This window comes from Homo sapiens, chromosome 8, assembly GCF_000001405.40.
Source record: "Homo sapiens chromosome 8, GRCh38.p14 Primary Assembly".
NCBI classification, from domain to species: Eukaryota; Metazoa; Chordata; class Mammalia; order Primates; family Hominidae; genus Homo; species Homo sapiens.
The window spans coordinates 60,864,175-60,888,803 of record NC_000008.11 but is presented as its reverse complement, the minus strand read 5'-3'; the positions used below and the strand labels follow the sequence as shown (position 1 = coordinate 60,888,803).

The window sequence follows — 24,629 nt, the reverse complement described above, 5'->3', positions numbered from 1 at the left end:
TATTTTCCATGCAAGTACTGATCTCAAAAATGCTTTTTTCCCATCCTAATAAATACAAAACATCAGAAGATTGTTTCTGGCAGGCTGGGCACCAGAACCTTTTCATCCTCTTGCTTTAGGGCTCTGTGCTAAAGGAAAATTGATCATTTTGCTTTCCCAAAAGACATCACATTGGTCTACCACATTGATAACATCAGTATGATAGGACTCAGAGAGCAGAAAATAGCAGGTGCCATGGATTTCTTGGTAAGATAGCATAAGCCAGAGGTATCCCATGAAAATAAAATGAAGGACACATCAGTAAACTTTCTGGGAGATCCATGGGGGTACTGAAGGCATATCTTCTCAAAAGTAAAGAACTAATTGTTTCATCTTGCAGCCCCTAATAAAGAAGTACGACACTTTGTGAACCTCTTTGGAGTTTGGAGGCAACATATGCCACATTTCGCTGTGCTTTCTCCCCCAAGTACCAGGTAATTGAAAGGTTACTAGCTTTAAGAAGGGCCCCACCAGTCTCCAACTGGACAAGTCTGTGGCAGAAAGAGCTCTTCCATTTGAGCCTTAAGATTGGATCCAAGGGTGTTCAAAGTGCAAGTAGCAAGTGAGGCAACTATATGAAGCCTCTGCCAGGGTTTCAGAAGTAAAGCCCCAACCTCTTGGCAAGAATTATTTTTCTATTGAGAAAAGATTGCTACTGGACCCTGATGGATGTTGCATATTTAATCATAGAATACCAGGTGAACCTGAGCTCTGCCTTATGAAGTAGGTTTTATCTCATCCTCCCAGCCAGAAATTCAGGCATTCCCCAAAGCACCATCACTCAGGCTGTGCAGATCCTGAAGGCATAAGAAAATTGTATGGGCAGATGGCTCGCACACCCAGGTACATTGCCTTCTATGTTATGACCCTTCCCTCAACCTACACCTGAGCCTCGTGGGGAATCCTCCTGATCAGATGACTGAAAATGGAAAAAAAAAAATCTGTGTGTATATGACTTTGCACAATGTGTAGGTGTTTGCTGGGAGAGACTGCTGAAGAGTGACACTGACTCTTGAAAAATAGTAAAGAAAGGCAATCATCCCAGCATAAATAATTGGTTCTTCTCATTCTTTATTTTACCAAGAAGGAGATAGGAGCTTAAGTCAGGCTGTGTGGACAGTGATTAATTGTTTGGCCACCTAGTAAAAAATTAGTAAAGAGCAAGATTAAGAGTTGGTGACCAGATCAGGGAAAGAATATAGACTGACCTCTGAGAACAGGCACCAAGAATGCCATGATAACGCTCACCAAAATTCTTCCCAGTGAAGGAGGCGCTCTTTAATAAGGTGGACATGACCGTCCTCTCGGGATATCAGTCAGCCACTATCCTCAGAAACCCAGTGCCACCGAATAGGTACATGAAGTGAGAGGCCGTGGAGGGAGGAAGCTATGCATGGGCTCAGAGACAAGCACGGGCCCTCACCTGGCTGCATATCCTCCTCACCTGGCTGCGTATCCCACTTGCCTACTTCAGTGATGAACCCTGAGTGTCAATGTGGCACCATATTCAGGAGCAGCAGCTTGCCTTCTGGTAGCCTGTTGATTACACTGAATCTTTTCCATAACTGTAGAGGTAGCAATTTGTTTTCACTGGAATGAACACTTATTATGAACCTGGATTGCATTGGCATTCCTTCCTAACAAGCTTCTTCCTTCATGACACACATGGCCTTCATGAATGCCTTATCAATCATGATGGTATCTCATACCCACATAGAATTCCTTCTCACTAAAGCATTTTTTTTTTTTTTTTTTTTTTTTTTTTGGAGATGGAGTCTCACTCTGTCACCCAGGCTGGAGTGCAGTGGCGCGATCTTGGCTCACTGCAACCTCTGCCTCCTGGGTTCAAGTGATTCTCCTGCCTCAGCCTCCCAAGTAACTGGGACTACAGGTGCGTGCCACCATGCCTGTCTAATTGTTTGTATTTTTAGTAGAGATGGGGTTTCACCATGTTAGTCAGGCTGGTCTTGAACTCCTGACCTCAGGTGATTAGCCCGCCTCTGCCTCCCAAAGTGCTGGGATTACAGGCGTGAGCCACCGCGCCTGGCCTAAAGTATTTATTTTTGAGTGAAGGAAGACAGGCAATGGGCTGAAGTCTATGGGAGTCTCCAAGCTTGCCTTGTAGCCCACATCTCAGAAGCAGCTGCCCTTGTAGAACAGCAGCATAACCAAATGAAGACTCAGTTCTAGAAACAGCAAATGTAGGGGGAAATCCTTGCTCTTAAACTAAATGATATTGCCAGTGAATCATCATTTTTGACCTGAAAAAATGGTGAGTTCACGCCACTCGATGTAATGGTTTGGGACATACAGAGAGTGGGAATCAGCGATCCACATGCAGTGGATCCTTCCTGTGAATAGGGATGGTTGGAGGAATAGTAAAGCCTCACAACCACTTGCAGCTATTTTGTTTTCTGACCCCAGAGCTCTGGGCTTTGTTAGAGGTCTTAATAAATAAGGGAAGAATGCTTCCAGCAGGCGAGGCAGCAATGGTTCCATTGTAAATTTGAAGCTGAGACTCACACCTGGGCATTTCAAAGTCCTCTTGCCACTGGATTGAAAAAAGGAAGTGTAGGCCGAGGCAGGTGGATCACCTGAGGCCAGGAGTTGGAGACCAGCCTAGCCAACATGGTGAAAACTCATCTCTACTAAAAATACAAAAATTAGACAGGCATGGTGGTGTGTACCTGTAGACCCAGGTACTCGGGAGGCTGAAGCAGGAGAATAGCTTGATCCCAGGAGGCAGATGCTGCAGTGAGCCGAGATAACGCCGCTGCCCTCCAGGCTGGGTGACAGAGTGAGACTCTGTCTCAAAAAAAAAAAAAAAAGGAAAGAAAGAAAGAAAAAGAAAAAAGAAAGTGTGTGGTGTGTGGGGGATGGTATGGGTTTTGACTGAAGTAATCCGTCTGCTAAGAAAGAGGAAATGGAGTTCTGCTCTGCAGTGGACAATAGGAGCATAGATGGGGTGCCTCAGAGAACCGCAAGGTTCTTGCAACCTGGAGTTGGTGAGCTTGCTAGGTTTCCTCTTCCTGCATAAATGAACCAACTCTCTTTCTGTGTAAGTGAACCAGAGTTGGTTGCCATAACTTGTATCTAAGAACTCTGCCACACTGGGCTATGCCGAGTCCATAGCTGTAAAATGGAGGTAAGAAAATTGCCCATGGATAGGCTAATGGTTAAGGACACGGATTTATGTATCAGAGAGTTCTTGATTTGAATCCTTTCTCTGCCACTGGCTAGTGGCATCATAGGGAAGTTATTTGACATTTTGAAGCCCGTTTTCTCATCTATAAAATAGGAATGACAATAACATCCATATCATAGGCTTTTGCAGGGATTAAATGAGATAATCCATGTAAAATGCATATAGCAAGGATTAATAGTGTTAGCTATTATAATCTATGTTTTTTTTGAATTGATATGAGTCTTAAGAGAAAAGTACCCAATATAGTGTTACTTATTATCTAGGCTGTATCTGCCCCTTTCATTTCCTTCCACACCATCCTTGTTCTTGATGATTAACTACATTTCAACCTTGTGACAGTGGGGGGAAGGGCATTTTGTGTGCTGGTGGAAGAACTGGGGTGAGAGAAAGCATACCCAAGTGTTAGTACCTGCTTCTCACCAGCTGGGTGGACTGAAAAGAGTTGGTTCTTCCTCATAACTTGAATGGGTTGGATTCCTCCAGCTTTTTTCCAGCTCCAGCATGTGAATGCATAAGGGGAAGGCTGCGCTTCTGCTGGACCATCACATCTCTGCAGTATGTCCTGTGATGGGGAAGTTGATAGGTGACAGATAAAATAAAAAATTATTCAGATCCCAATTTTCCGAAGCACCAGACCCAATGACGTTTTCTTTTTTTTTTTTAATAGATCATGTATTTTTTTTTCTTATACTTTAAGTTTTAGGGTACATGTGCACAATGTGCAGGTTAGTTACATATGTATACATGTGCCATGCTGGTGTGCTGCACCCATTAACTCGTCATTTAGCATTAGGTATATCTCCTAATGCTATCCCTCCCCCCTCCCCCCACCCCACATCAGTCCCCAGAGTGTGAGGTTCCCCTTCCTGTGTCCATGTGATCTCATTGTTCAATTCCCACCTATGAGTGAGAACATGCGGTGTTTGGTTTTTTGTCCTTGCGATAGTTTACTGAGAATGATGATTTCCAATTTCATCCATGTCCCTACAAAGGACATGAACTCATCATTTTTTATGGCTGCATAGTATTCCATGGTGTATATGTGCCACATTTTCTTAATCCAGTCTATCATTGTTGGACATTTGGGTTGGTTCCAAGTCTTTGCTATTGTGAATAGTGCTGCAATAAACATACGTGTGCATGTGTCTTTATAGCAGCATGACTTATAGTCCTTTGGGTATATACCCAGTAATGGGATGGCTGACCAGACCCAATGACATTTTCCCCCAGATATTTCAGTCAAAAGGATCAGACCTTTCTGAGTTAAGACCTTAATGAGTTAAGACATAACAAATACTTAGAACAACTTTAGGGTAACTATATAAGTATAAACCATGATACTACACACTTCCTAGATGGGTAAAGCTTAAAAAAATGTTCCCGGCCGGGCATGGTGGCTCAAGCCTGTAATCCCAGCACTTTGGGAGGCCGAGGTGGGCGGATCACGAGGTCAGGAGATCAAGACCATCCTGGCTAACACGGTGAAACCCCGTCTCTACTAAAAATACAAAAAAATTAGCCAGGCGTGGCAGCGTGCGCCTATAGTCCCAGCTGCTGGGGAGGCTGAGGCAGGAGAATGGTGTGAACCCGGGAGGCAGAGCTTGCAGTAAGCCAACATCGCGCCACTGCACTCCAGCCTGGGTGACAGAGCAAGCAAGACTCCATCTCAAAAAAAAAAAAAAAAAAAAAAGTTCCAAGTTATTATTTGCTTCCTTTAAAAAACAGGATGTGTAACTGACTTGGAAAAAATGACCCAACCTTTATAGAATAGGCTAGATCTGAGTAATTTACTGAGTAAACAAATAACTTGAGAAAGGAAAAGATCTAGTAATCCTCAGAATGTTGAATGAGGGATAATTACTTGGGATATGATGTCATTACTTTACACATTTTATCTTTAATTCTGATTAAGGTTTTCTGAATTTTATTCCCCTAACTAAATTTATTCTTCTAACTAAGTATATTTTAAAGTGTTGACTAAACAAAGCATTCTAAAGAGAAAGGCCCAGCAGGGAGTATATATATTTAATAATTCACAGTGACTATATCCTTGTAAATTACAACTCTCCTGTTCTTGTCTTTCTCACAGGTATGCTGAAATGACAAAAAGAGAGTGATCATTAAGTACCTTTCAAATGTTATTATACTTAACAAGAAAAGTAGCGATGTCTTGAATGAGAGGCTCTTAATTTAGGTAATGAAGCTTTCACAGGATTATGGGAAAAATATTTTCTAAAGCAATATAACTGGCATGGTTTCAGAAAATATGATCATCTACTTAGAGAAAAGGATCAACAACACACCATTAGAACTAATCAAGAGTTTAGAAAGTTTGTCAGTGTGATCAACCTACTAAAATGAATAACAGTTTTTATGCCAGAAAATACCCAACAAGAAATTTTAAAATAAGATCCTTCATTCATAATGGTACCAAAATCTACGAACTGGTCAGGAATCCTGAATTCATCTGTGGAGAAAACTAAATTTGATTAAAAACATAAAAGATGATCTGAAAAAAAATGGGGAGCTATTCCATGCCCTTAGATGGCTAACTTGTTACTGTAAGGATGTAAATGTTTTTAAATTAATCCATGATTTCAATGCCATCATAATCATGACTATGAAGTAAATTTTTGAGGAACTCAAATTTTATTACCATGTATAGGGAAGAATAAAACACCTAAATCCATCTTGAAAATAGTAGAGTGGATCTTTCACACTATAAAAAAAAGCATAGCATAAAGCCATAGTAATAAAAAAGGTGTGATATTGATGCAAGAACAAAGAAGCTAATAGAATATTACACACACACACACACGAACTTAATATGTAATAATAGTAGCACTACAAACCAATAAGGGACAGAATTTTTAGTAGCTGATAATGGGAAAATTGTCTCACTATGGAGAAAAGTAAGATCGCATGTTGACATAACACAGATGAAGGTGACACCAGATAGATGAAAACCTAAACGTGAAAGGTAAAACTATAAAGTCAAGAAAACCTAGGATAACACTTTTCTGATAGAGGGCCAGAGACTGACTTTCTAAATAAAACCAACTTGGAAAACAGTAACACCAGTAGAAAAATGGGCAAAAGGGCTGAACAGGCAGTTTATAAAGATGAAATCAAAAGGTTAACAAACATGAAGAGATATACAAAACTCACTGGTAATTAGAGAAATGCAAAACACAACCATAGGCAACAATTAAGAAGATAAGTGATAGGAAATGTTGGTGAGAAAGCGGAGACAGAAAAGTTCATATGCGGTTGGTGAGGTAGATTGACCAGCACAGCCTTTCTGGAGAGCAACCAGCCATTTCCCAGCTGTAATCACCACAGGAGCGCATCAGTGATCCTTCAGTGCAATTTCATTTCTGGGCACAAATCCTAAGAAAGTTTGCACTTGGCTGGGCGCAGTGGCTCATGCCTGTAATCCCAGCACTTTGGGAGGCCAAGGTGAGCGGATCATGTAGGTCAGGAGTTTGAGACAAGCTTGGCCAACCTGGTGAAGCCCCATCTCTACTAAAAATACAAAAATTAGCCAGGCATTGTCATGGGCGCCTGTAATCCCAGCTCCTTGGGAGGCTGAGGCTGGAGAATTGTTAGAACCTGGGAGGCAGAGGTTGCAGTGAGCTGAGGTTATACCATTGCACTCCAGCCTAGGAAACAGCGAGGAGACTCCATCTCAAAAAAAAAAAAAAAAAAAAAAAAAGAAAGTTTGCACACAAGTTCATAAAAAGATATGAAATGCAAATGCTCTTTGCAACATTCTTTGTAGTGGTAAGGAGTTGGGGACAACACTTTATGATGCCTGCCACAGGGAAAGTGGCCCTAAAATGTGGACACAGGCACTGTGCAGTAGGCTAAACAAGGGTCCCCAGAGATGCCCTTCCCTAACCCCTAGAACCTGTGAATGTTACTTTATATGGCAAAAGCTACTTTGCAGATGTGATAAAATTAAGAATCTTGAGATGGGGAGATTATCCTGGGTCACCCAGGTGGCCTGATGTAATGACGCCAGTCTACAAGAAGTTCTCAGAAGTCGGAGGAGAAGGCAGGGTGATGATGGAAGCAGAGATTGGAGCAACAGGCTTTGCAGATGGAGGAAGGGGTGACAGCCAAAGAATACAAGGGGCCACTAGAAATGGAAAAAGGCAAGGAAGAAGATTCTCCTCTTAGCACTTTCAGAAGGAACCAGTCTTGACGATACCTTGACTATAGCCTAGTAAAATAAATTTCAGACTTCTAACCTCCAGAACTGTAGGATAACACATTTGCGTTGTTTTTAGCCATTAAGTTTGTGATAATTTGTCATAGTAGCAATAGTAAACTAAGACATGCTGAGTTCATGCAAGAGTTAGAAGAAATGTAGTATATACACATAGAAACACAAATTAATCTTAAAAATGTCAATGTTACAAGAAAAAAGTTTTTTAAAAATCAGATGTGTGAGTTGGAAAACTCAGTATTTTTAAGATGTCATTCTGCCCAAATTCATACATAGATTCAACATAATCTCAAGCAAATTCTCAGGAAGCTTTTTTGCAGAAATTGACAAGTTGATTTTAACATTTATATGGAAATACAGAGGAATTGGAATAGCTAAAATAACTTTGAAAAAGAAGAATAAAGTTGGAGGACTTATATAACTTGACTTCAAGACTTGTTCTAAAGCTACAGTAATCAAGATAGTGTGGTATTTGGCATCAACATAGATTAATAGATCAAGGGAATGGACTCTAAAGTCCAGATGCAACACCAAAAATATGATTCATAGAAGAACAAATTGATAAAATGTGCTTTATCAAAACTCAAAACTTCTGCTTTTCAAAAGACTTTAAAGGAAGTGAAAATAAGTCACATAGTTGGAGAAAATACCTGCATATTAAAGTGTATATATGGTAAAGCACTTGTATCCAGATTATAAAAATAACTCCCAAAATTTGATAATAAGAAAACAAGCACTCTGCCCTACAAATTGGCAAAAGGTTTTGAATAGACACGTCACCAAGAAGACAGATGAATGGCAAATAAACACATGAAAAGATACTCAACTTCATTAATCATTAGAGAAATAGAAATTAGAACCATTATAAGATGCCATGGGCCAGGTGCAGTTGCTCATGCCTGTAATCCCAGTGCTTTGGGAGGCTCAGGCAGGAAGACTGCTTGAGCTCAGGAGTTTAAGACCAGCCTAGGCAACAAGGTGAGCTCCTACCTCTAAAAAAAAAAAAAAGAAAGAAAGAAAAAGAAAAAGAAGAAAGCAGGGAAGGGAAGGGGAAGGGGAAGCGGAAGGGAAGGTTAGCCAAGCTACAGGTAGCATGCACCTGTAGTCCAAGGTACTGGGAAGGCTGAGGCAGGAGGATTGCTTGAGCCCAGGAGGTTGAGGATGCAGTGAGCTGTGTTCGTGCCACTGCACTCCAGCCTGGGTGACAGAGCAAGACTCTGCCTCAAAAAAAAAAAAAAAAAAAAAAAAAAGAAAAGAAAGAAAAAAAGCCACTATGTGCTTTTTAGAATGTCTAAAATTAAAAGAACTGCCTATACCAAGTGCTGACAAGTATGTGGAGAAACTAAAACACAAACACTTCTGATAGGAAAGTATAAGGCAACAACCACTTTGGCAGAAAAGTTTGACAATTTCTTAAAAAGTTAAACATAGGCCGGGCACAGTGGCTTACGCCTGTAATCCCAGCACTTTGAGAGGCCAAAATGGGCAGATCACCTGAGGTCAGGAGTTCAAGACCAGCCTGGCCAGTGTGGTGAAACCCCACCTCTACAAAAATACAAAAATTAGCTGGACATGATGGCAGGTGCCTGTAATCCCAGCTGCTTGGGAGGCTGAGCAGGAGAATCTCTTGAGCCTGGGAGGCAGACGTTGCAGTGAGCCAAGATTGTGCCATTGCACTCCAGCCTGGGTGACAGAGTGAGACTCCATCTCAAAAAAAAAAAAAAAAAACGTTAAACATAAACCTACCATGTAATCCAGACATTCCACTGTCATATATTTATCTAAAAGAAACAAAAGTATATGTCTATTAAAATACTTGTACATGGCCATTCATGGTGGCCTTATTTATAATAGCCAGAAACCAGACATAACCCAAATGTCCATCCACAGGCGACTAGATAAATAAACGGGTATATTCGTACAATGGAATACTCCTCAGTCACAAAAAGAAGTGAACTATTGATGCATATAACATGAATGAATCTGAAGAACAATTATGCTTTGTGAAAGAAGTCAGATAAAAAGTATATACCATATAATTCCATTTATGTAAAATTCTTGAAAATACAAACTAACCCACTGAAAGCAGATTAGTGGTTGCCTGGGTATAAGAGGTTGGGGAGGGTAGAGGGTAACAGTAACAGAGAAACATGAGGAAACCTTAGTGGGAGACAGGTATGTTCGTTATCTTGATTGTTGTGATGCTTCACAGGTGTCAAAAGTTATCTAAACTGGTCAGTATAATGTATGCCAATTAGACTTCAATAGAGTGTTAAGATGAACTTGTACAAGTTTAAAAAATAGAACAAGATACGTAACAAGATACCATTTACATAATTAAATATATGTATACATACAAACACTACACATTTGAAAAAGTACTAGGAAAAATACATGCATACATATGTAATAAACACACTAGAAATCTGGCTTCTGGGTGGCTGGGTGGGTGGGTGCTGAGGAACTACATCTGGGGTAAAAAAGAAGAAAGAAAGGAAACAGGAGAGAGATGTCATGCATGTAGACCAATGATGAGTGAGGAGCACAATGAACTAACTCTGTATGAAAAAAAAAGTTTTCTCTTTATTACAAAAATAAGTTTCCTAGGTCAACAGAGACGCATTTTTGTCTCAACTTTAAAAGGGAACATTTCTGAGATTTTAATGAAACTGATGCAATAATTTTGTCTCCAAAGAAAGGCAGCTTCCATTTTAGTGCTTTTGGAGATAAGCTTGTGGCTTGTATGTACCACATCTCTGAAAATCCTGTTAGAAATTCTGCTAGTGGCAAAATGCTGCAATTCAGTAAGGGCATAATTAGCTCGATGTTTATAAAGCTCCATCATACCTTCTACGTAGGCCCATTGCACAGATGTTTAAGTACTGTCAAGCTGTGTTTTCATATGTACAGCTAATAATTCCTAGCTGTGGTTTCCCTTTAAATAAAGCCAACAGTAACCAGAAGATGCGCTTACCAGAGGTTTCCCTATGCAAAACATAATTTACTTTTAGTTTATTGCAGGAAAATGTAGGTGGGGGCAGTTAGAAAATAATTAAAAGTGTGTGCTTCCTTATAACATGCTATCTCTACTAACTGAACTTCTAACCTGACATAAATACATTGCATACTGTAACCTGTTTCTCCTGATCATTAACCTTGAGCATGGCAACCTATAAATCATGCCTGAAACAGCTGGCGCTCAGCATTGCCCCAAAGGTACATGATTACGATCGTTTTATATATATCTTGGTATGCAGACATGAAAAATTCATTGAAGAGGTTGGTATTGTAAGACTTATTGTAATGAATTTTCTCAAAAACATAGATCATGCTTAAAATAGGTGTCTGCTTATTATAATGCAGCCATTTATATCTTCTTGAATTACCTTGCCCATAGCTCAGCCATTTTCTTAAAGTCAAACATGATGATACCTAAATAGATTTACTGCAGTCACTTTGCACTGCTTAAAAGTAGAAGTTTGCCTTTTTTTCCCTTTTTTGTTAATACTTACAGAATCCAAGGGTACAGATTTTTTTTTAAGGGGGAATTATCTGGAAAGACATTCCCTAAAGTCATCCCTATTTACTGGGTTTGTCAACCATGAACACATAGGGTAGAAAAAAAACCCAAAATGTTATGCTTCTCACAACTCACCGAAATGTGGCCCTACTCCTTGCAAAGAATGGCTCTTCATATCAACACTTATTAGAATGATAAAATGTTAGAGCCAAAAGGGCCCCCAAGTGTCACTGAGACCCTCACTATGCAAATGGAGCAACCCCAGGGAACTGGTGACTTTCAATCAAGGTCGCACATCTGGAAAGGAGGAGGACCCAGATATGGCCCCCGTTCTCAGGTTTGTAATACTAATAGCTGGGAGAGTGTTTATTAGGTGCGGTTCAGGGCTCAGTGCCCGATGCATGTGAACTGGTGGAATCCTCACTGCAGGCTTCTGAAATGGGCTCTAGCCTCCCCGCCGCCATCCGCCTCGTCGTCATTATTGCGACCAGCCATCTGGGGAAACAGGTCCAGAGAAATGAAGTAGCTCGCCCGTGGCACACAACCTGCCATTGGCTGAGCAGGACTCAACCGGACTCCCATCAGCGCGAGCCCATCTGGTGGATCACAGCATAGCTCTGAGTGAGCGGCCGCATCACACGGAACTGCTTTCACTTCGCCTGGTGGTTTCTTTTTCATTTTCTGATGGGGTTGGCCAGGCTTGTAAACTGTTGCTGTATGAATTCATGAAAGACACAGTTTATTAGTTTGCTGGGGCTGCCATAACCAGGTACCACAGACTGCGTGGCTGAAACAACGGACATCTCTTTTCTCACCGTTCTGGAGGCTGGAAATCCAAGATCAAGGGGTCAGCAGGGTTGGCTTCTTGGGGGCCTCTCTCCTGGGCTTGTAGATGGTTGCCTTCTTCCCCTGCCCTCAGGAAGTCTTCCCTCCGTCTCTGCCTGTGTCCTTATCTTCTCTTCCTATAGACACCAGTCAGGTTGGAGCAGGACCCACCCGTACGAACTCATTTTCCCTTAATCCCCTCTTAAAGGCTCTGTCTCTAAATGCAGTCCCATCCTGAGGCGCTGGGGGCTCTGGTTCTAGCACGTTCATCTGGGGAGGACACAGTCCTGCTGGTCACACATGTGCCTTCTTCTGTTGGGAACCCTACTTATAAAAACACCAATTAGAAACAAACAGGCTCAGTCGCTGTACGTGTACGTTCATTCTTTACCTGATGGGAGCTGTTAAAACCAGCAGCACCTTACTTGCTGTGCCCTTTAAAACTGAGTTTGGGAAGGAAGAGGCGGTTTCCGGCAGAGGCGCTCCGTGCCCACCGTGCAGCCCCATCCATCTCCCACCTGTGCCCAGCGCGGCCGCAGTCCGCCCTTTCCATCCACCGCGGGACCCAGAGGCGTCACTCTGTGTGGGGCCCTGGGCTTCACGACTGAACAGCATAGCAGCAAATAATATTAATAAAATAAGAGGGCAGAAATTCAGACTCCCCAAAGGTGGGCACCTTATGCAGAAACCCTTTTTCCTTTCACCTTTGCTTCCTCCTGGGAAGGAGGAAACCTGAGGACAGCTCTCCAGGGCCCGTTGTGTTTTGTTTGATTTTTTGACTGAAGGGTGAGTAGCAACAAGAGCATGGTCCTGAGTGTGCTGGGGTGGAGGGTGTGGCAGCTATGGGCACTGTCTGCCATCTGGCAGGGGCGGGCACACTTTGGGCACCCAGGAACCTGTGTTAGCTTGGCAGGGATGCCGTTCAGGCCCTATGGCCAGCCTCCAGAAGCCAGACAGGGAGAAAGGACTCATTTATGTTTTCTGGCTTTGTGTGAGGGCCCAGGGGAGGGACCTCGAGGTAGATCAGATTGCCTGGAATTTCTATCAGCCTCTATGCTCATGAATGAGGAAAAGAATTCATTCCACTAAAAACAAACACACACTCACAAAGCACTGGACAGATACAATGGGGACAACACTCTCTGTGGTACTGTCACCACGCAGGGACAGCACGCACAATAGTTGACATTGTGAATGTGTTTATTTTGTACCAGTCTAAGTAGTTCTACAGGCATTATCTCATTCAGTCTTCAAAACTGGCCTGCATGGAAGGTGGTATTACCGTCCCCACTTGGTGCAGGAGAAAAAGGAGGCTGTCCCAACTGCTGGCTGTCACACAAGCGGGAGGAGAGTACCCTGGGCAGGAGGCATTTTGGGGGGAATGTTCCACTTGCTGTGATTTTTCCTCTTCAGGGACTGGTTTTTCATCAGTTTTCCATTTCTGAAGTGGCATTAAAAGTAATCCCCAATCACTCAAAGCTGCTTTTCTGGCTCTCTTATTACCCTCTCAGAGAGGAAGTCACAGGTGCTTTGAGGTCCAAACGAAATTTAGGGATCCTCTCTCTAGAAAAATACATGCACACATAACTATGCATCCAAATTCAAGGGACTTAGGGCCACCCACATCCCCTCCCACAAAGCCCATCCATGGCCCCAGGTTAAGAACCCTTGTTGTACAGCAGGATTTTTCAAAGTGCAGGCCACCAACCACTACTGCATCACTAAGTCAGTTTAGAGGGGAATGATCTCTTATTTATTTATTCTAATGAAATAGAATACAACAGAAAATATTAGAATGTATTGGAATAAGAGTATTGTGAAGCTTTAAAAACAATTTTCATCCAAATCTGGAAGTGTACAAGGCCCCAGGGCTACTTGTATTGCTCACTGGTGTTTGAGAACCGACTTTCTAGAAGCCTTACCTCCTCCCACCTACTCCAAGCTCAAGTCTGCACTGCTGTCTTCAGCCAAGAACTGCCTGTGTTTCAGGACAGGCAGAAGCCTCATTTCTATAGAACACTCCTTATAGGCCAAAACCACCCTGGCCATTTGCTCAGTGTTTTTAGGCTTCATTCTCCTGTACCACTTCTTTAGAATTTGTCAAACGATGTGAAGTTTTTAAATGATCATTTGTTGAGTGCCAGTTCAGTGCCAGACGCTAAGAACTTTGCATATTCAGGATTTCTTTTCTTTTTTCACTTTTTCAAGACAGTCTTGCTCTATTGCTCAGGCTGGAGCGCAGTGGCACAATCTCAGCTCACTGCAACCTCCACCGCCCGGGTTCAAGCAATTCTTCCACCTTAGCCTCCCAAGTAGTTAGGATTACAAGTGCCCGCCACCATGCCTGGCTAATTTTTTGTATTTTTAGTAGAGACGGGGTTTCGCCATGTTGGCTAAGCTGGTCTCGAACTCCTGGCCTCAGGTGATCCATCTGGCTCAGCCTCCCAAAGTGTTAGGATTACAGGTGTGAACCACTGTGCCCGGCCATATTCAGGATTTCGAATCCTCACACAACACTAGAAGGAAGGCATTATCATTATTATGCTTCCAAATTTACAAATGAGGAAGGTGAGGCTCAGAGATGAACTTGCTCTACAGGGCTGCCACTGTGTGTGTGTGGCAGGAGTTACCTGGTTGCTGTCATTATGTGGTAGAGAAACCACACTATGTGATTTGGAGTCCAAAGACCTGCCTGCAAGATTCAACGAAACCACTTGCTAACCTTGCCTCACAGAACCTTAATTTCTTTAATCTCTAAAGTCACAACTGGCCTATTTCTAAGTTGTATCCATTGAGACAATGCATGGATAAATGCCCTGAAATCTGCAAAGCACGGGCAGATCTGTTGTTTATATTACCTACCTCAGCAACACTCTTAGGCACTGGAAGAACCCTGACTATATGCTTTTTCTCTCACCCCTACCCTCCAACACACCCTCCAATTGCCCATTAAATACTTCCCAATTGGTTGCTACTTAAGGACAAGAATGATGCCTATTATGCCCTTTGTTTAGCATAACCCCTGGCATGGCTTTCAAAAGAAAGTGTCCTTAATACACAAAAAGACTCCATAACATTTGTCCCTAAGAGAGCAGAGACTTAATGTGGAAAGGCCGAAAGCAAAACATGGCTGCATTTAGTCCATCAAGCAAGAATGTCCAGATCCAGAAGGAAATCACCTTGTGGACACCAGCAACAGGATGCCATCCTCAGGGCATTGCTGCCTCCGTTTTTAGGTCACCGTTGGTGGCACCTCTAAGAGAAGGGGAATATCATGATCATGCTGATGCAGGAGAGATGTGAGTCTTAGAGATTTAACTGAAGTTACTAAACTTTTTTCTTTTTTGCACTAATTCAGAAGCCTAGATGGTTTACATTTAAAGCAAAACAAGATTAGTTTAAAGCTGTTCCTGCTCTGGATAAAGTGATCAGGTGCAGGAAGCTAAAATTACAAGGAGCAAGGACAACCGATCAAATCCACATGTCCTCTCCCAGGGTCTCTGGGCTCAGTAGCTTCCTCCTTATTCAACATATTTAGCCACAACTGACAATCAAGTGGCTAGGATAATTTGTACCTATAACAGCTATTAAAACAGTAAGTTTGTCTAACCCTTCAAGTTGTTGTGGATTTCAGCATCTCCTTGAAGGCAGGGAGCACGTAATGCCCCATACATACAATCCATGAGAATAAATGTGCCAGATCAGCATGCACCTAAAATCTGCAGATGCGTGTCCAGTAGCAGGTATATCGTAGTACAAAATAAAATTGTAAACTATTTTGGGTAAGCTTTCTGACCAGAACAGACATGCTGGAAGCATGTCAGCTGGAGATGACATTTTGGCCATTTAGTCATTTGAGCTCCAAATACAAGAAACACCAAGTGATTCTCAAAGTTGCTTTTCTTCTTGCATATATTTTACAGCATGTTCTCCTAGGCCTATGCACCTTGGAAGGCCACTGTTGTTTTGCTCATTTGGCCTACCCCCAAACCACATAAGAAAGCAACATAAATACAAAAAGCTTTGGTTTCCCCGACATCGACATCATAAACAATATTCAGGTTTTTGTAGTAACTATCCTCAACAGCAAGATTTTAATGATCATAAACAATTGATACCTGCACAGTCCTCAGCAACAGATGGTTTTATGGTTGAAATGTAAAGGGACATTTTCTGCTTCAATTTTATCCCCCACTGCCACCACCACATATTCTGATGGTCAATGAAATTCTTTTCACAAAGTGGGCTAGGGGCTGGGGGCTGAGGTTCGAGCCAGCACTTTGTCGTTGAGTTGCCACGGCTGCGTTACTATCAGAACACACAGGTTCTGTACAAACTGGGACTGCCAAGAAAAGGTGTTTGGGGGGCAGTTTGTAACTTTACATTTTGGAGAGTAAAATTTCTTTTCATGGTTTTAAGTAACCCTTGGGGCAATTCTGAGTTAGTCCAGCTGCTCCTCAGAAGCTAGCCATGGCTGGAGGAGCAGAAACCGGGAGCTGAGAAAGAGGCCAGCCTCGTCTGGGGAAGAACAATGCCTCCGCAGTCAGACACAATGGCCGCCTCTCATTTTCCACCAACTCTTACAATAAAATGGAAAGGACCATGGAGCTGCCTTGCAGGGCCCCCTGAGCCTAGAGAGAGAACATTAGCTCTGCAGCTACAGATATGCAAATCCGCTATGAGAGCTACAATAGCCTAGGAAAGCCCTGTGGGTGGGGACAGATGAAGCAACACTGTTCTGCTGGGGCTATTTTCCATCCTTGTAGGAGCCATAGGTTCCAGACTTTGTCATCTCGATTTCTACAAGCTGGGGCTGGCTTTTAGGGCCATTCAGATACAAGGTAGAAGAAAGGGCAATATTCACTATCCAGAAATCCTAGTGAATATCCTCAGTAACATGCAGAAATATTTAGACTGTCAGTTGCATAGATCATATCATTAACTCAGCATGGATATAAAGCCTACTTGTTAATTGCTTTTTTTTTTTTTACTTGAACATCTTTCAGCCATTCTTCAATAATCACTTCTGTAATGCAGCATGAGATTCTGGAACTTTCTGATTTGCTCTTCAGATCACACCATCGGTTATTAAAATATCTTGTAGCTTGATCTATTTTAGGTTTTTGTTTAAGATCCTAGACCTGAATTAACATTGATGGTGGGTTTATCCTAAGACAGATGGCCCACAGCTAGCTATCACGTCCGCTGGAAAAGTCCAAATTCTAGTTCTGGCCACCACACTTGTGTACTACTTGGCCTTGGGCAAATGACCCTGCCTCACCTGGTAAAGGGCTGGTGGCAACAAGACTGGCCTAACTTACCAGGGTGTGGTGTGGATTAACTCACCAGTGCCTATTAACAAACACAAATGCTGAATTCTGAAATGTTGAGCTTCCCGACTCCTAGGGAAACATGGTGAAACATGTTAAACAGGATGAGTTTTCCAAACTGTCATGCGCACTCCCCAAAACTATTAACTTTACAGCCTGCTTAGGTTTCAGTCATCCAGCCTATATCCCAGTTGAAGTCTCTTGAACTGAGGCTGACAATTATGAGGTTTTGGATTGCAAACCATTGCAGTACCTGGCTCCTGTCACAGAAGAGAATCAGGTTTCTCTCATTTGTAATCTTGAAATCGAGCTTTCAGATCAAAATGCAGAGGCGGCGAGGGGACAATGGAGGAAGCCACCTGGAGTATAAAGTGATTCCTAAGCAGTATTTTGACCTAGTGCTACTATTTATTATATATTAGAAATCTATTAGGCTGCCCTTTAGCTACAACTCCAAATTTATCATGACATTTATCTGGGAGCCCAGGAAGGACCTCATGAGAAGGGAAGGCTCACAGCAGGATCCTACTGTGGAGAGGCACCAGCACACTTAAATAGCATGCCTGCCAACATGTGAAATGGGATTCTGCCATCTTTGTTCAAGTGAAGAAAATGTCAACCTGCTTAGGAGCTAAACAAATTTTAAGAGTAAATCATTCTGCCAGGCACGGTGGCTCATGCCTGTAATCCCAGCACTTTGGGAGGCCGAGGCAGGCAGATCACTTGAGGTCAGGAGTTCGAGACCAGTCTGGCCAACATGGTGAAATCCCATCTCTACTAAACATACAAAAATTAGCCGGGCATGGTGGCAGATGTCTATGGGCCCAGCTACTCAGGAAGCTGAAGCAGGAGAATCTTGAACCTGGAAGGCAAAGGTTGCAGTGAGCCGAGGTTGTGCCACTGCACTCCAGCCTGGGTGACAAAGTGAGACTCCATCTCAAAAAAAAAGAGTAAATCGTTCGGAAGGTAAAGATATTAGATGTCAAAATATTTCAAATTTTGTCACTAGCTTATTATTTAATTTCATTTAAATTACATAGTACACATTTGATTAAGGAGATCCAAATTAAAATTCAAATCTACATCTGTAGATCCAAAACAAGGTTTATAAACAAATAGACCTATTGGGAGGGTGGCGCTATGTTGCACTGCATAAAATAACTTAAATAGTCCAGAATACTTAGAAAACGATCATCCTAACCCTTACCAGAAAATCTTCAAATTAAGTGACTCCCCTACCAAAAATCTCAATAATGAAATGCTTAAGAGTCTTACATTAGGTAAAGTATTCCCGAAGGTAATTTATTCATCTATTTTGCCAAATATAGCTTATTTTACTATGTCTGTAAAACTGTGGTAAATCTTACCTGTGCTTAAGAAAATATAAAATTGCTCATTAGAGAGCCAAGTTGAATGAATAAGATGTATTCTTTTAAGTGCTTGTTAGTAGAAGTCATTTACATTGTTTTGCTTCCTAATTTAAATTTATTGATGGCCCTAGAGACACAGAGATGTTTGCTGTAACACACATTGCTTCAACAATGCTCACTCTCACCTCCTCTACCGGTCAGGATTAATGTCTAAAACTCTTCCCACAGACAATTAACAATTTTCATTGAACTAAAAAGAAAATTTTATAATGTACATGATGGAAAAATTTATTTTCCCAGTATCTTCTTCTAACACTAATCACAACATTCTTATTTAAAAAAATTAGCATGGTGAACATTCTTTATCTGTTAGTTTTTAGTAGTAGTCCTGAAGAATTAATACAAATTATTCACTGAAAAGTTCATTTAAATTGGAGGGTCTACCTCTTCAAAACATATCCCAAGTCCATCCATGGCTTTCCTTCTCCATTACTGCCCACTAAACTTGACCCAAGGTTGCTACAGCCATCTCCCAGCTAGAATTGCTGACTCCCCTTTACAAGGGAGTTTTTTGAACTGCAGACATAATGATCCTTTAAAAACATGAAAATGACCATTTTTCTGCATAAAACCTTCAGAAGACTTTCTACAGCACTCAGCATGAAACCCAAATCCTCCACCAGAGCCATCCAGGCCCTATGTAATCTGACCATGCCTCCCAACTTTTCAAGGCAGATGGCCTCTCCACTCCTTATTCCAAGCTCATTACCAGCTCAAGGTCTTTGCGTTTGTCATTCCTTTTGTCTGGACAATTCTCCAACTAGAATATAGTCTGCCTACTGCTTCTCATCACTCAGGTGTGAGCTGTCTCCTCCATAGAGAGCTTTTTCCTGGCCATCCTATCACCTTATTTAAGAGTCTTCCTTGCCCTGCAAACATTTTATTTGTATTCTATTATGCATCTCTTCGTACTAGGATGTAAGCTGCATGACAGCAGGGGACTAGTCTGTTTGCTTTCATTTCTATATTCCCAGCACAGCCTCTAGCACACAGCACCCAATGTTGCTGATGAATGTTAATTACACTAGCATAGTGGTTAGGAGCCTGGGCTTTGGAGTTACATCAATTGGGGTTCAAATACCAGGCTGGCAATTTACTCTCTCTGTAACTTATTTGGACAAATTCTTTTTAAAGACTTGATTTCTTTATAAAATAGAAATACTTGTGGGGCAAAATAAATCCAAATTTAAATGAGGTAGGTGGGATTCATTTCCTTAGCCAGAGCTAAGTCTCTAATTCAAGACTTTCTCTTAATTCCCAACCTCAAACTTAAGATGTTATGAAGGGGAATAAACAGCGAACTTTCAGTTATCCTTATGTCATAATTTTCTTTCAGAGACCTAAAAGCACAGTATTTTAGGAGCACATACACAGACTTCTGCAGTCAGACCACCTGAGTTCAAGTCCTGTTCCTGCACTTACTGCTGGGGATGATGCCAACTCCCGGGCCTCAGCCTCCTCAGGGAAGAACAGAACTTCCATCAGGGAGCAATGCCAGGAGAACCCTTGGCACCTCAGTGCTTCCTCCATGCTAGGCACACGATCATACCCATTAGTATCTGACTGAATTGAAAATACTTTACTCACGCCTGTAATCCCAGCATTTTGGGAGGCAGAGGCAGAGGCAGGTGGATCACAAGCATCAGGAGATCAAGACCATCCTGGCTAACACGATGAAACCCCGTCTCTACTAAAAATACAAAAAAAATTAGCTGGGCGTGGTGGCAGGCGCCTGTAGTCCCAGCTACTAAGGAAGCTGAGGCAGGAGAATGGCGTGAAAGTGGGAGGCGGGGCTTGCAGTGAGCTGAGATTGTGCCACTACACTCCAGCCTGGGAGACAGCGAGACTCCGTCTCAACAACAACAACAAAAAAAAAAAGAAAGAAAGAAAGAAAGAAAATAAAATACTTAGGTAGATTCAAGATCTACTACCAAGAATGAATTTCACTGGAAGAAAAAAAATGCATTTTTCAATATGAAAATGTGAATGACATTAAAGCCACGTCAACAGATGAGTACCGGATGATGCACATAACAAGCCAGTGAGCCCCAACAACTCAGGGGTCCTCTGGCCACGAGCAACTGATGGCTTTGCTTTGAAGATCATCATTGCTCTTAGAATTTTATCCTAACAGTGTCACATTATATTCTCTATTTACAGAGGCTCATAGGAAAATTTCCAATACTACAAAGAACTTTAAAAAAAACACCCTTTAATGACTCATTTTATTAAGCAAATTCTCCCTGCTAACATCTTTGTTACTTAAATACTTAAATTTCCTATACTTCATGCAGACCTAGTTTCACTTTCCCGTGTTCAAATAATTCCCTTTCAAAAAATATTCTCTTCAAGGCACTTTCCTCCAGTGTGCACGGCCCATTCACTTTCAGCAGACAACGACGATGATAAATAAAAGCAATCACAGGATCTGTAAGGTGGAGGGTTCAGGTTGTTTCTTTCCCAGAATCATTAAGGGGCATATTTTCATCTTGGGGCATAAACGAACTGAATCTCACAGTCTGGGAGGAATTTAGACCACCTGTCTGGCAGCACACTGGCTGGAGGTGGACTGTGTGCGGACGTCCTGGGGGAAGGGTGTGGAGGAAGGCAACACACACGAAACACTCTCGTCCACATCCCTTCCCCTGCTTTTTAACTGGATGGAAATATGGCTTTGTGTTGGTTCAGGTGACATAAAAAGGTGAAAACAGTAGATCTCAAATTATATTTTACTTTAAATACCAAAGGTCAAAAAGGGGTCCACAAATCAGTAGCTCCTGAGACCGTGCGTGCGCGCGTGCGTGCTTAAGTGGGTCTGTTTCAATTCCACATGGGTTTTTCCACACACTGGTTTCTGGCATCGAGCGCTGGTCTGCAGGACACCAGAGTGCCTTTGTGTCCCTTGCTGACACTACCGCATTGTGTTTTTCTACCCATTAACCAAGGATAAATGACCTAGATATTGTGCCTGTTAAAGCCTCATTTTTCTTTTGCCCTTTTGTTCTTCAGTGTACCACATTATCACACGCTGCACACATTTCTAAGTATTCTCGGTCTCAGATGCCCTTTTGAGGGAGTAATAGGAGCTTTTTGTATGCATTTCTGTTGAGATATCTGGAGTGGAATTATGTGAGAGTAATTCAAGGTTTTCCTTCCTGTCTAGTCTTCGAGACAGTTTAGTGTCTTACCAAAAGCTAATCTAGTATAAGAGGATATATCAAGAAACTGTACAAAAGCCAGAATGCTGTATTTGCATCTATTGCGAATACAAAAAAAATAGAGTGAACACCAGTTTCCCTATATACTACATTCTATAATTACATCTCTGCATATCATGGGTCACTTTTATTAAAAGCATCATTACTACAGTTGGCAGCAATTTACATTTTATCTTACATGATAGCAGTTTTCAAAGAAAAAAATAAAAGGACATCACAACAAAGAAAAACAATACATTTACAAAGTCATGTCTGTAAACTTCAAGGCTAGTTTAGAGCTGAGGTAATGCTGTTTTAGCTTTGTGGCTAAAGTAACAAAGTCCTTTAATTTAAAAAAGGTACCTGATTCTCTCTTCTCTCACTCTTTATTTATTCATCTATTTATTTTGTTTTTACCAGTGCATTACAAGACCACGAGACAATGGAACTGTAGTTCTGTCTGGCAAGAACCCTCCCAGTAGGTTAATTTTCCAAAGGGACCCTTCACATTCAACAGCTGCCTTATTATTGCTGCGCCTCGGGACAGAGGCGTTCACACTAGCGTGGAGATTGTCAGAGTGTATGGATGTGTGTGTATGCACGAGTGTGGGAACCCCCATACAGTCAAAAAGGGAAACAAATGAGCAAGTATGATATGTATGGTAAATTTCAGCTTGACCTTCACAGCAAAAAAATTAAAAATTAAAATTAAAAAATTAAATATATAACTTCATACTTCCTTTGAGCAGCACTTTCTTCCATTAGTGCCACTCAGTTACAAATTGCTCTTTATTATAATACCAATGGTACCAAGAGAAAAAAAAAAAGCAGAGCATTATGTAAGTTTCCTTAAAAAGACATGATCACCTCTCAAATTTCATCTCTCCTAGGGATAATAAATAATGCACTGCACAATACTTAATGACCAAGATACCTTTTGACACACCTGTATAACATGACTTGAACTTTTTTTTTTGCTACACTATGTTACAGAACAGCTTATAAAACTAGGTATGAACATTAACTGTGAGTGTAAACAGTAGGACTACCACTTGTCAAAAGTTTTAAACACTTGAACTGGAACTGGTACTGGTTATTCATCATTTTCATTGTTTTCTATTTCATCCCCCCCATCAAGTGAGTCTAGCTCTTCACCCTGTGCTATTTCGTCTTCTAAGAGGGAGGACTCTGCAGTCTTATCCAGGCTCTCCTCGGCATCGCTGCCTTCAAGGGTCTCTCCATCTTTAAAGGGTCCTCCCTCAGCCTTGTCAGCAGCCTTTTCTTCGCTGGAGCCCACGGCATTCTGAAGTCCTGCCAATGCTGGGAACCCAGGCAGCGTCAATCCCCCCAGTCCTGGAGGTAGAAACATGGATGGGTAGAAGAGGCCCGGGGCCATTGTGGACAGGAGGAAAGGGTTGAAGGCTAGCGGGTTTGAGGGCAATCCAGCCGGGGCAGTAGCAGCACCAACAGATCCATTCGCAGAGTCAGCAGCCGAAACAGCATCTGTGCTTTTCTCAGAGTCTTTGTTCTCGTCTTCATTCTCATTTCCTTTCTCCTCTCCTTTTGAAGTGCTGTCTTCCGGTTCTCCTTGACTAGAAGCAGTAGTGGTGTTTCCAGTAGCAGCTGACAGAGGGTTATTCAACAGCCCGCCCAAGCCAAACACGTTGGGCAGGCCCGCCATTCCTGGCAGCATCAGGGGCAGCACAGCAGCAGGGTTCTTCGCATCGCCTCCGGCGGTGGCAGCTGTTGCCAGTCCTGGAGGGAAGCCCATGAGGCCTGCCAGCTGGAGCGACTGGAGATTCTGGAGATTCTGAAGGCTCGTCAGGTCCATTCCAGCAAACAGGCTGTTCACCAGCAAAGGGTTGATCCCTGACGTGGAGGCCACAGCAGCGGCGGCCGCGGCTGCTCTGGCGATCTCACTTTTGGGCCTTCTTCCTCTTCTGCTCGCTCCCTCTCCCCGCACTACAGGCCCAGTGAGAAGGCGGTCAAACATCGACTCAGGAACAAAACCCTGGAGTACAGGGGAGGCAAACAGTGGCTATAAAGGCTGTCGAAGACAACTTGATCTCAATGTGAGCCTCTGTGGTGAACCTGCCATTCCAAATGGAAATACCTAAGTAGTTCTTCCCTCCTAACAGCTCAATGATAAAACTTAATGACAGCAAAACTTGTTTTTATTATTATGTTAGCTTGCTGAACTGCAGAAAAATTGCTCAAGGCTACTCATCAGTGAGGTAAATGTCAAGTTAGCTGCATCCATAACTAACTCAAGAAATCATACATCAGAAAGTACATTATGGGGTACAAAAATAGAGTTAGACAGGATGAGTAAGATCTAGTTTTTGATAACACAACAGGGTGACTACACAGTCAACAATAATTTACTGTATATTTTAAAATAACTAAAAGAGTATAATCACATTGTTTGTAATACAAAGGGTAAATGCTTGAGGTGATGCATACCTCATCTACCCAACATGATCATTATGCACTGTGTGCTTGTACAAAATATCTCATGTACCCTATATATACACCTACTATGTACCCATAACAAATTTTTAAAAAGGAAAGTACATAATGTATAATTATATCAAATCATCACTTTGAAGCCAGGTGCCGTGGTTCATGCTTGTAATCCCAACACTTTGGGAGGCCAAGACTAGAGGATTTCTTGAGCCCAGGAGTCTGAGACCAGCCTGGGGCACATAGCAAGACCCTATCTCTACAAAATAAAAAAAAAATATCCAGGTGTGGTGGCATATGCTTGTCATCCCAGCTACTTGGCTAATCAGGAGGCTGAGGTGGGAGGACTGCTTGAGCCCAGGAGTTTGAGGCTGCAGTGAGCTATGATT

The 24,629-nt window shown here is 42.1% G+C and overlaps 1 protein-coding gene across 10 annotated transcripts in view, besides 1 other annotated feature; it reads right to left on the bottom strand.

Annotated features, from left to right (window-relative positions):
• Positions 14,557-15,079: an enhancer, noted in NCBI's record as "NANOG hESC enhancer chr8:61786284-61786806 (GRCh37/hg19 assembly coordinates)". NCBI's record gives its function as "activates a minimal SCP1, AML or CMV promoter by ChIP-STARR-seq in naive H9 embryonic stem cells {active_cell/tissue: H9 hESC(naive)}" and the evidence as "EXISTENCE:reporter gene assay evidence [ECO:0000049][PMID:30033119]".
• CHD7 (chromodomain helicase DNA binding protein 7) overlaps positions 20,776-24,629 on the bottom strand; it is a 189,289-nt gene continuing 185,435 nt past the window's right edge. For all 10 annotated transcript variants that reach the window (XM_011517553.3, XM_047421945.1, XM_011517555.3 and 7 more), the window contains one exon: positions 20,776-23,788. In XM_011517553.3, coding sequence (XP_011515855.1) covers positions 22,871-23,788 — 918 coding nt within the window. In that variant the 3' untranslated portion in view covers positions 20,776-22,870. The remainder of the gene's footprint in view (positions 23,789-24,629) is intronic.